This window comes from Homo sapiens, chromosome 3, assembly GCF_000001405.40.
Source record: "Homo sapiens chromosome 3, GRCh38.p14 Primary Assembly".
Lineage (NCBI taxonomy): Eukaryota > Metazoa > Chordata > Mammalia > Primates > Hominidae > Homo > Homo sapiens.
Window position 1 is genome coordinate 122,694,403 of NC_000003.12, and position 12,288 is coordinate 122,706,690.

Consider the following 12,288-nt stretch of genomic DNA (forward strand, 5'->3'; position numbering starts at 1 on the left):
AATAGGCAATTTATTTGCTCTCAAGACTTGCTCCCACATGGATGATGCACTGGCAAAGATTTGTTATATTTATTTCTGTATCCTCAGATCCTAGCACAGTGCCTGGCACATCGTGGGCCCACCATCAATACTTATTATTATTATTATTTTAAGATAGAGTCTTGCTCTGTCGCCCAGGCTGGAATGCAATGCAGTGGCGTGATCTCAGCTCACTACAAGTGATTCTCCTGCCTCAACTTCCTGAGTAGCTGGGACTACAGGCGCGCACAACCATGCCTGGCTAATTTTCGTATTTTTAGTAGAGACGGAGTTTCACTATGTTGGCCAGGCTTTTCTCGAACTCCTGATCTCAGGTGATCCGCCTGCCTTGGCTTCCCAGAGTGCTTAGATTACAGGCATGAACCACCACGCCCGGCCAATACTTATTATTAAAGAGACAATTGAGTTGAGTCCTAAAAGATGAATAGGATCAAGACAAAAACTAGAGAAGAGCATTCCAAATGCAGGAAATTGTATACACAAAGACCCTTTCAAGGAGAAGGGGTTTTACAAAAATAATGACTAGTTTTTGTGGCAACACGGACAATAAAATGAATGGCAGGGAATAACCGAAGGTGATGCTTGGAAATTAGTTTCGAGTCACATCACCAAGGGCATTGTACACCTGGCTGAGGAGTGTCAACGCTCATACCTGCAGGTAATGGGGAGCCATTGAAGGGCTTGAGAAAGGGGTGAAATGAGATTTGTAGGGAAAACCCTCAGGAGGGTTGGTGAGGTCTGGGGCAGGAAGTGGGGACACAGCTCAGTGGCAGCAATCCAAGTAAGACATTCGTGTGTGTGTCGCCCAGCGACTGGGAGTTTTAGGTATGTAAATTCTCATGTAGGTATTAAAATCTTGTGTCTAAAAATGGAGTGCTTAGCTCTTCCTTTTATTTCAATTAGTAGCCAGACATTTTCTTCTATACAACATAAAGATACAATAAAAATTTACTGATTTTCTTTCTTTTTTTTTTTGGTTTGTAGATACTATAAGATTTGTTGATGATTGTACCAAGCACCATTCAATTAAACAACTTCAGCTTTCTCCAAGACTTCTGGAAGTGACAAACACAATCAGGGTTGAAAACCTGCCACCTGGTGCTGATGACTACAGTTTAAAACTTTTCTTTGAAAATCCCTATAATGGAGGGGGAAGAGTTGCCAATGTTGAATATTTTCCTGAAGAGAGTTCAGCTCTGATTGAATTTTTTGACAGAAAAGGTAATATTTATTAACCTGTCATACCTGGCATAATCTAGGCCATTATTAGCAGAGCTTAATAGTTATAAATTTAGTTCTGATGTGTTTTATTTGTTTATTTATGTATTTCTTTGGGAATTGAATAAATAATCCTGTTCATCTGCGATATGATGCTTAATAAGGCCAGTGATTCAGACTTTAGAGAAGCAAAATCAAGTTTTTGAAAGATATAAGGAGGTTTTTTCATGAGTCTCTACCTATGATGGGCTGAAAAATATATTCTTGGGATCTTTGAAATAATATATTAAAAAGGAGATGATCTGTGTTTTAGCCACACACTTGATAGAAGCTCTCAAATTAATTATGACAAGGTTAGGTAAAGAAATACTCAGCAACTCATAGAGTTCCTATAAAGTACCACTCCTTTCACCTATTGTATCATCATTCAAAAATGGACAGGAGTGGTTTCACATGACCAGTGGATGCCTGCTGGACTATTGTTTGGAGTGACCCTGTGAAACCCATGTCTAGCTGAACCTTAGAGAAACACTTCTGAGTGTTTTGTGATATAGACTGCCAGTTCTCTGAGGCATATGCAAGGTCAGCTTGGAGGTTCCACTTGTGTTCAGAAGTCAAGGCTGAGCAGAAGGAATTAGGGGGCCAGGCTTCTTGGGAAAAGAAGGAAAACTGTGCCTGGGATTAATCAGGGTGGGGCATGACATAGGATAATGTGGTATGCCACCCACTTGAGAGAAGTTGTTTCAACAAGGTACTTGAAGGAACCTCCCTTTTCCCAACTCAGTTTTCATGTGTTGGGAAAACTGGATGAAAGTATGGTTTGAATTAAAATGGAATGAAAGACCTACTATTCCTTGGGCAAAGGGACAAAGAGGAGCTTCTGTCACATATTCAAATCTCCCTCTGCCTGGTCTTGGGCCCAGGGAGAGAGAGGGGTACATAAAATCCTCTACCCTAGAAATTAACCTCCCAGTTTGTGGTGAGAGTTGATATTTTCAGGGCTTTCAAACATCTTTAGGGCATGGGGCTGTTGGGTTTGTCCTCAGAAGGGCTATTCTGCACATATACAACTAATGTTAAGTACTATTTAATTAAGGTTTATTTTCTGCCAGAGCTATTCATGTAAACTCTATGAGGCACTCTCAAAGGTTCCCTTTCTCCCTGATCTCTTTGCACCATCTAACTTTTTTGACCACACCTCCTCCTCCAAACTCACTCATTCTCTGTCCTCCACCATCTGTGATTTACTGACTTTCTTTTATGTTCTCTAGCTTCTCCTTTTTATTTTTTATTTTCATTTTATTATGTATTTGAGACAGGGTCTCACTGTCTCTCAGGCTGGAGTGCAGTGGCATGATCATGGCTCACTGCAGCATCAGCCTCCCCAGGCTCAGGTGATCCTTCCACCTCAGCCTCCAGAGTAGCTGGGAGTACAGGTGCATGCCACCATACCCAGCTAATATATTGTATTTTTAGTAGAGATGGAGTTTCGCCATGTTTCCCAGTCTGGTCTTGAACTCCTGGGCTCAAGCAATACTCCCTCCTTTGCCTCCTAAAGTGCTGGGATTATAGGCGTGAGTCACTGCACCCAGCTTAGCTTCTCCTTCTTTTAATTTTAACTTACATTTGCATAGCTTCGCAGGTTATTACCAAGTGCATTCAGACAGTCTTATGGGCATCTTGATTGTTATAATCCCTGTTTTGCACATGACGAAACTGAAGCACAGAAAGGTCCAATAACTTGCCCAAGATTACACAGCTAGTGAGTGACATAGTCAGGATTTGAACTTGGGTATTCTGGTCCCATAACATATACCCTAACTTCTCTCCTCTTTCCAAATCTCCTGTTCACCTATAACGTTAATTTTTCTTATAGGATATTTCACCATTCACAATGGGTTGCCAATAATGAGGCAGATGGTAGATAGAGCTTGGTTTAAAAGAGAATTTATTGTACAATATTGTGTTTTATGTAGATTTCTTGAAAGGAAAAAATTAGGCATTTTACTGTAAAATTATTTGGTTCAACTTCACAAAATCTGTTTTATTTCTTAAGAGAATTTTCATTGAACACCTATGTCTGTAAGATCTTTTGCTGTTTTTTCTGCTACAGTATCTCACAATCCCATTAATAATCTGCACAGTTAGATAAACTTTGTCCTTACAGACAAGAAAAGCAGGATGGAGACTTTAAGGCATATTAAGGTGACATCTGTGATGGTTCTTGAGTCAGACAGACCTGAGTTTGATTCCTGGCCTTGGTGCTTACTAGCTTTGTAATCTTGGCCGAGTTACTTTAACCCACCTAAGCCTCTGTGTTCTTATCTGTAAAATGGGGTTCACATTACTGGTTACTTAGAGGAATGCTGTGAGGTTGAAATGAAATAATACCAGCAAAGAGCCTGGTGCCTGATGGTGCTCAGTAAGTTGGTAATCATAAATACTGCCCAGGCTCAGGGCTGCCACAGAGCCATGTTGAAGCTATAAAGCTCAGGGCTGCCACAGGGAAGTTGAAGCTATATGTTTGGGCCTCTGAAGGCCACTGCTTTTCCCTCATGCTTGATACCAGCTCTAGGACCCAATCATACACAAGGTGAAGTTATTTTTAACATCTTTCCACAAAGGTTGCTCTTTTAACCCAAGTTGTTATTGGAGCACATTCTGATTCCCTTTCTGCAGATGCTCTGCTTAATAACTTACACAAAACGAGGAGGGGCTTGGAAGAGAAGAGCATGCACATGCACACACATGCAAACACACCCAGTGAAGTGGAAAAGGGAGATTCCAGCAGGGCCAGGAGGAGGTGTGGTTCTTACTGAATCATAGTCTGTGGGGCTGGGCTCTCAGAGGACAGTGATGATAACTTGGATTTGGTAGAGGGGCAAGAGGATGGGCGTTGGGGTTGGACAACCACTGAATCTCAGCTGAATTATCTGCAGTCTATGTAACCCTATCCAAGTTATCTAACCTTTCCTAGCCTCAGTTTTAGTAGGATGATAATAATAATGTCTCTACCTCAAATGGTTGTTGTGAGGATGAAATGAATTAAATATATGTAAAGCACTCAGAATAGTGTGTGACACATGCTAAGCTATAATAATTTATTATTATGCTCCTCCTTTTTGAGGTATTAATGTTAATCTAAGTCAACTTTGAAGCCTAAAATTATAGGACTGTACAAGAAGAACAAATAGCATAATACTAAGGTGAGCTTCACTTTGAGCACCAAAATATTTTTTATACTTTGAGCACCAAAATATTTTTTATACTAGGGCAAACATTATTCTCACGATTGTGACCAAACTCATGTATTTCTTAACATGATGGTGATATATCAGTAATATCAGGAAAACAGTAAACAGAATTTAATTAACAAGATTTCAACATAGATGGATCTTGGCTAGAAAGTAATTATTCCATTCAATAAGGGATACCTGTGCACTGCTAACACATATCAGTTTATATTTGAGCACTTTGAGAGTATATTGCTTTTTAATACGCTGTAACATCAAAATTCTACCAACATTAGTTTTTTTTACTCTAAAATGGGAAGATTTTGTTTTGTTTTTCTTTGCCACATATCATCTTGGTCTTACATTGTTTTATTTCTTTCCTTTAAGTGTTAGAAAAACATTAGATTTTTTTTTCTCTAAAATAGGAAAATTTTGTTTTGTTTTTATTTGCCATATATCATCCTGGGCTTACATTATTTTACTTCTTTCCTTTTAAGTGTTAGACACCATCATGGCCACAAAACTCGACTTCAATAAAATGCCACTTTCTGTGTTCCCATACTATGCCTCATTGGGCACAGCCTTGTATGGAAAGGAGAAGCCTCTGATCAAGCTTCCAGCACCATTTGAAGAGTCACTAGATCTTCCCTTATGGAAGTTCTTACAGAAAAAGAATCACCTCATTGAGGAGATAAACGATGAAATGAGGCGTTGTCACTGTGAGCTCACGTGGTCCCAACTCAGTGGTAAAGTTACCATCAGACCAGCAGCCACCTTAGTCAATGAAGGAAGACCGAGAATCAAGACCTGGCAGGCAGATACTTCCACAACACTCTCTAGCATCAGGTCTAAATATAAAGTCAACCCAATTAAAGTGGATCCAACAATGTGGGACACCATAAAAAATGATGTGAAAGATGACAGGATTTTGATTGAGTTTGATACACTTAAGGAGATGGTAATCTTAGCAGGGAAATCAGAGGATGTCCAAAGCATTGAGGTACAAGTCAGGGAGTTAATAGAAAGCACTACTCAAAAAATTAAAAGGGAAGAGCAAAGTTTGAAGGAAAAAATGATCATTTCTCCAGGCAGGTATTTTCTTTTGTGTCACAGCAGTCTACTGGACCATTTACTCACGGAGTGCCCAGAGATAGAGATTTGTTACGATAGAGTCACTCAACACTTGTGCTTGAAAGGACCTAGTGCAGATGTGTATAAAGCAAAGTGTGAAATCCAGGAAAAGGTGTACACCATGGCTCAGAAAAACATTCAGGTTTCTCCTGAGATTTTTCAGTTTTTGCAACAGGTAAACTGGAAAGAATTCTCTAAGTGTCTTTTCATAGCACAGAAGATTCTTGCACTTTATGAGCTAGAGGGTACAACTGTTCTCTTAACCAGCTGTTCTTCTGAAGCCCTGTTAGAAGCAGAAAAGCAAATGCTCAGTGCCTTAAATTATAAGCGCATTGAAGTTGAGAACAAAGAAGTTCTTCATGGCAAGAAATGGAAAGGGCTCACTCACAATTTGCTTAAGAAACAAAATTCCTCCCCAAACACTGTAATCATCAATGAGTTAACTTCAGAAACCACAGCTGAAGTCATCATTACAGGCTGTGTAAAAGAAGTAAATGAAACCTATAAATTGCTTTTTAACTTCGTTGAACAAAACATGAAAATAGAGAGACTGGTTGAAGTAAAGCCTTCCTTAGTTATTGACTATTTAAAGACAGAAAAGAAGCTATTCTGGCCAAAGATAAAGAAGGTAAATGTGCAGGTAAGTTTCAATCCTGAGAACAAACAAAAAGGCATTTTACTAACTGGCTCAAAGACCGAAGTACTGAAGGCAGTGGACATTGTCAAGCAAGTCTGGGATTCAGTCTGTGTTAAAAGTGTCCATACTGATAAGCCAGGAGCCAAGCAGTTCTTCCAGGATAAAGCACGGTTTTATCAAAGTGAGATCAAACGGTTGTTTGGTTGTTACATTGAACTACAGGAGAATGAAGTAATGAAGGAGGGAGGCAGCCCCGCTGGGCAGAAGTGCTTCTCTCGGACAGTCTTGGCCCCTGGCGTTGTGCTGATTGTGCAGCAGGGTGACTTGGCACGGCTTCCTGTCGATGTGGTGGTGAATGCATCTAATGAGGACCTTAAGCATTATGGTGGCCTGGCCGCTGCGCTCTCAAAAGCAGCTGGCCCTGAGCTCCAGGCCGACTGTGACCAGATAGTGAAGAGAGAGGGCAGACTCCTACCGGGCAATGCCACCATCTCCAAGGCAGGAAAGCTGCCCTACCACCACGTGATCCATGCAGTGGGGCCCCGCTGGAGCGGATATGAGGCCCCGAGGTGTGTGTACCTATTAAGGAGAGCTGTGCAACTCAGTCTCTGTCTAGCCGAAAAATACAAGTACCGATCCATAGCCATCCCAGCTATTAGTTCTGGAGTCTTTGGCTTTCCCTTAGGCCGATGCGTGGAGACCATTGTTTCTGCCATCAAGGAAAACTTCCAATTCAAGAAGGATGGACACTGCTTGAAAGAAATCTACCTTGTGGATGTATCTGAGAAGACTGTTGAGGCCTTTGCAGAAGCTGTGAAAACTGTATTTAAAGCCACCCTGCCAGATACAGCTGCCCCGCCAGGTTTACCACCAGCAGCAGCGGGGCCTGGGAAAACATCATGGGAAAAAGGAAGCCTGGTGTCCCCGGGAGGCCTGCAGATGCTGTTGGTGAAAGAGGGTGTGCAGAATGCTAAGGTGAGTGTCGCTTTTACAGAACACCACCAGGGCACTGTGACTTTACTTAGTCAGTGGCTCTCTCATGGAGGGCTGAAGAAAGATAAGGACCAAGGTGAGAATCAAGGGAGAGAATCCCATGCCTTCCACCCCTGCCTTGAAACAATTTTCCTTAGATAATTGGGCTTCTTACCAAATCATTTACTAATAGAGATCGGCCAATTATTTGTGAGAACTGAAAGGGTATAGAGGTCAGATTGCTAGATTTCCAGTAGATGTAAAACTCCATAATATCACACGTTTAGACAGTTCTCTATACCTTACACCTGCCGTGTTTTGGTAAATCTAAGACTAATTTCCTAATTTACTGACAGCAGATACAGAACAATCAGAGCATAGGGTATGCAGAGGACAGGAATCTTGTCAATGATGCTGAGCAAGAGTGAGCTTGGGGCCAGAGTCTAAGGGGCCATCAGCGCCCAACACCAGTGAGGAAGTGAAAAGTGGACCTGAGGAAGTTACAGGTGCCAGGCAATATGTGGGGACAATTCTTGTAGGCTGCAGGGGCATGGCAGGGGTTGGAGGGAGGCTAATATGTTTCTTTTTCTTTTTATTTTTTTGAGGCAGGGTCTCTCTCTGTCATCCAGGCTGGAGTGCAGTGGCACCATCTCGGCTCACTGCAACCTCCGCCCCCTGGGTTCAAGTGATTCTCCCACCTCAGCCTCCCGAGTAGCTGGGACTACAGGTGCATGCCACCACGCCTGGCTAATTTTTGTATTTTTTTTGGTAGAGATGGGGTTTCACCATGTTGGCCAGGCTGGTCTTGAACTCCTGACCTCGGGTGATCCGCCTGCTTCAGCCTCCCAAAGTGCTGGGATTAGAGGCGTGAGCCATCATGTCCAGCCAGCACTGTGCTGTTTTTGACATGCATGTTCTCATTCACTGCCATGCGGCAGATTCTAGGATTATTATTATTCTCACTTTACAGATGAGGGAGTGAGACTTAAAGGGGTTAGGTAATTTGCCCACATCCCCCAACTAGCAAATGGTAGAGCCAGGATTGGAATTTGTTCAGGCTCTTAACCATTGCACTCTTTCAAAATGTTAAAAATAATGTTGTGTCTCATTTTAAAAAATTAAATAAAAACTCTTTGGACCAAGCATCAGTTATGGGAATGAATTTCATTCCTTGTCTCTTTTGACACCAAATATCAAGACATTCTTTCCCAGCTAGGCATGGTGGCTCATACCTGTAGTCCTTACTACTCGGAATGCTGAGGTGGGAGGATCACTTGAACCCTAGGAGTTTGAGGCTGCAGTGAACTATGATCATGCCACTGCCCTCCAGCCTGGGTGGACAGAGCAAGACCCTCTCTCTTAAAAAAAAAAAAAAAAACAAAAAAAAAAAACAAAAAACAAAAAACAGTCATAGTTTGCTTTCCTTTCACTCCCATAGATGCTTAGCTTCCATGGCTGTAATAACTGCTCTGCATTACTCCTTAGTGACCCAGGCAGGGCAGCTTTGAAAATCACTTGGTTACATTCCCTCTCCTCTGTTCTCTTGACCTCTCTAATCTAGCCCGATTAATCTGCTCACATTCACTGATGAAAAAGCTTCCGGGGCTGCTCCCTTTCTGTCAGGGAGTCCAGATGTCTTGGCACTCGAGGTGGGCCCCCTAGTTTACCCCCAGTGTAACATTTCTAGCCTGGAGCATACCATTTTGCTGCAGAAGCTCTCTCAGATCAAATTAATCTGTTCACAGCTCACAACCCACCATGCCTATGTTCATGCTGCTCCCTGTCTTGCTCTGCCTGCTGAAATTCTTCCCATTTCTCAAACCCCACATTGCCCATGGTATCTTCACTAGTTACTGAAACAGCTTTCTCTGGACTCCTTCAGTGATGCCATACCATTCATAGATTACTTTTTGACTGCTCTCTTTTTTTCCTAAGTGTCACTTCAATAAGTATTTAGTCACACTTTGTCTTATGTTGATATTTCAATCACTGAAACCGTAGTCATCTTAGTTGTCTCCAATTGTGCCAAGCCCAGTGCCTCAAATATAGTAATCATTGATGAATGCTTTTTGTTAAAATTTGAAACAAATTTTTGGTTTTGTCTTTAAGACCGATGTTGTTGTCAACTCCGTTCCCTTGGATCTCGTGCTTAGTAGAGGGCCTCTTTCTAAGTCCCTCTTGGAAAAAGCTGGACCAGAGCTCCAGGAGGAATTGGACACAGTTGGACAAGGGGTGGCTGTCAGCATGGGCACAGTGCTCAAAACCAGCAGCTGGAATCTGGACTGTCGCTATGTGCTTCACGTGGTAGCTCCGGAGTGGAGAAATGGTAGCACATCTTCACTCAAGGTTGGGCCTGGTTTTGAATTCTCCATGAAGTTGGGTAGCCCTTTGGGTTCTCCTTTTAGTAGCATATTAATTGGACATAGATTGGGCCTTGTCTGTTTCTCTTCCATAATAATCACTCTTTTGGCAGATTCCATCATGTGGCCATTTCTTTCAGCTGTAGCTGACTTCTCCTGAGGACTAGTTAATACTATAAATGGATTATTGTGCTCAATAATTATTGGAGCTCAGGGAAGGGTTACTGAAGATAATATTATTGCTTGCTTAGTGAAGAAAGCCAGAGGAGGGTGTGAAGAATGGAAGAGAATGAAGGAAAAGAACAGTAGTTGCTTTGCTTCTTTCCTTCATTGTGAATGTGTTTAAGTCTCTCGCATTCTCTTTTCCTTTTCCTTGCCTTCTCCTGTATTTTTCTTTCCTCTTCTGATTGCCCTTAATCAGTGTTGACAGCAAAAAGGAGTATTCAAGTTCACAAAGTTGCTAAATTCTTGTCCTTTTTGTTCTAACTCCCATTTCTAGACAAGATGTATAAGGATGTGCTTTGTGCGTTTCAGATAATGGAAGACATAATCAGAGAATGTATGGAGATCACTGAGAGCTTGTCCTTAAAATCAATTGCATTTCCAGCAATAGGAACAGGAAACTTGGGATTTCCTAAAAACATATTCGCTGAATTAATCATTTCAGAGGTGTTCAAATTTAGTAGCAAGAATCAGCTGAAAACTTTACAAGAGGTTCACTTTCTGCTGCACCCGAGTGATCATGAAAATATTCAGGTACAGTGCCACTAATTTCTGATTATTTTGGCAACTGAGACCTAGTGTTTTTTCAAATGTCTTTTTGGTCTAACAGGATACTTTTTTCATTCATTTCCCCATTCAGGAAAGTAAGAAGGTAGTTTATACTTGTAGTTGTAGTTGTAGCATGACAAATTTTAAGAAAAGTTACAGATGTAGAAAAAATTTAACTTCCTATTCAGGAAAATTTTGAACATATCCAAAAGTAGACATAATAGTATAATGCAGTCCCTTGTACCTATCACTGAACTTCAACAGTTATCAACCTATGGCCAATATGTTTCATCTCTATCTTCATCTATTTCCCTTCCTTCTATATTCTTTTGAAGCAAATCTCAGACATATCATTTTATCCATAAACAATTCAACATTTATTTTAAACAATAACAATTCTTTTTAAAAAAGTAACATAACCACAATATTGTATCACACCTAAAATAAATGGACAATAATTCCTTTAACCAATTATCAAATCAATTCTCAAATTTCTGACTATCTCATAAACGTTTTGTTTTTACAGCTTTGTGTTTGAATCAGAATCCAAATAAGGCCCACATATTGCAATGGAGTTGACTATAGGATTTCCCTCCATATGGACATAGAAATTTTAATACATAGTATAAAAGCACAGTCTGGCCTTATCAATAGGAAGATGTCAGAAGGTGTGGTTAGAATGGATTAGCACATTCCCATGTAAATAGGAGAGTTGGGACCAGAAACACCAGAACTATCATCAATCATGAGTTCATGATTCAGCTCACATCAGCTGTGGGAGAGCCACTGGACTCAGCATTATGGCAGCACAACAGGCTTTTAAGCCATTATCCCTGCACTCCGAGTCTTTACTTAATCAAATAAAGTAGATGACATTCAGTGTTTGAAAAGCTCCCAAGGTACTGCAAAAATTGATCAAACAGATTAAGATCAGCAACCCAAGAGATACCTGTGGATCATTGGACCATCTGAATTTTTAGGTAATGCTTCATTTTTCTGTGATGCTAGATACTACCTATAAGTTCTTTGGAAGCAAGTAAATCTGACCTGAATTCTGATCAGGCAGCCAAACCACCTGAGTAAAATATGTGGTCCATTTACTTGTCCCGTATAATTAGTTACTCTTCTGTGCAACAGAAGCTTTTAAAATAATTTCCCTATGACTTGCATTGTGCAAGGTGATGTGGATCGTGGAACAGGACGAATAGGAATAGCACATACTTTCCCTCCTATAAATCACAATTACTTTGGAGCTAAGATTTATATACACAAAATGAACTAAATGAGAGGCATGAAGTGCTGTTTTTGAATGCATGGGTGATTGAATACAGCATGAGTCCTGTGACACAGACCTGAACCTTCAAATATCACTCTTTTTCATGCAACCTCAGCATTCATTTTCTTTCCTGAAGACTGAGTATTTTTCAAATACTCTGTAAAAAGAATTAGTCTATACAGATGCCTTTAGTACCATTTGAAATTCTCTGTATGTGTCTGTTACACTTTTTCTCTTTAGACTTTTAAAGACAGTTAAACTTTGGTTACATTTGCACAAAAAAATCAGCAAAGCTTATCGAGATGTTTATAGATGGAGACTGTCACAGAGGATGCAAAGCAGCAGTCCTGTGATTTGAACATGGCCTCTAGATGTGCTTTATTTAGATTATTAAAAAAAAATTTCAATCAGTTGCTAACATTTAAAAATCAAAAATTTTACATAAAACTCTAGATATTCACTACAACCTAAAACTTCAAAACTTCTGGCACATTAAACATGGCTTCCTGCTTGGGACAGGAAGTTTTCCATGGCTGAGTGGCAGGTGTTCTCTAGTTCTCCATAGTCAAATCAGACCACCTTTACACATGTGCCTTACCTACCTGGCTCCTAGAAGCCTGTGAGTCTGAGATCTTTGCTCTACCCTCTCTC

General features: G+C 40.7%; 1 protein-coding gene across 3 annotated transcripts in view, besides 1 other annotated feature; it reads left to right on the plus strand.

Annotated features, from left to right (window-relative positions):
* The window catches only part of PARP14 (poly(ADP-ribose) polymerase family member 14), a 50,002-nt gene that overhangs the window by 13,564 nt on the left and 24,150 nt on the right, over positions 1 to 12,288 (plus strand). For all 3 annotated transcript variants that reach the window (XR_007095695.1, NM_017554.3, XM_011512929.3), the window contains exons 5-8: positions 1,024 to 1,260; positions 4,988 to 7,233; positions 9,340 to 9,576; positions 10,125 to 10,346. Coding sequence is in view for 2 of the 3 variants with exons in the window: in NM_017554.3 (NP_060024.2) it covers positions 1,024 to 1,260; positions 4,988 to 7,233; positions 9,340 to 9,576; positions 10,125 to 10,346 (2,942 nt within the window). In the remaining variant the exon portion in view is untranslated. The remainder of the gene's footprint in view (positions 1 to 1,023; positions 1,261 to 4,987; positions 7,234 to 9,339; positions 9,577 to 10,124; positions 10,347 to 12,288) is intronic.
* Positions 6,688 to 7,188: an enhancer, noted in NCBI's record as "H3K4me1 hESC enhancer chr3:122419937-122420437 (GRCh37/hg19 assembly coordinates)". NCBI's record gives its function as "activates a minimal SCP1, AML or CMV promoter by ChIP-STARR-seq in naive H9 embryonic stem cells {active_cell/tissue: H9 hESC(naive)}" and the evidence as "EXISTENCE:reporter gene assay evidence [ECO:0000049][PMID:30033119]".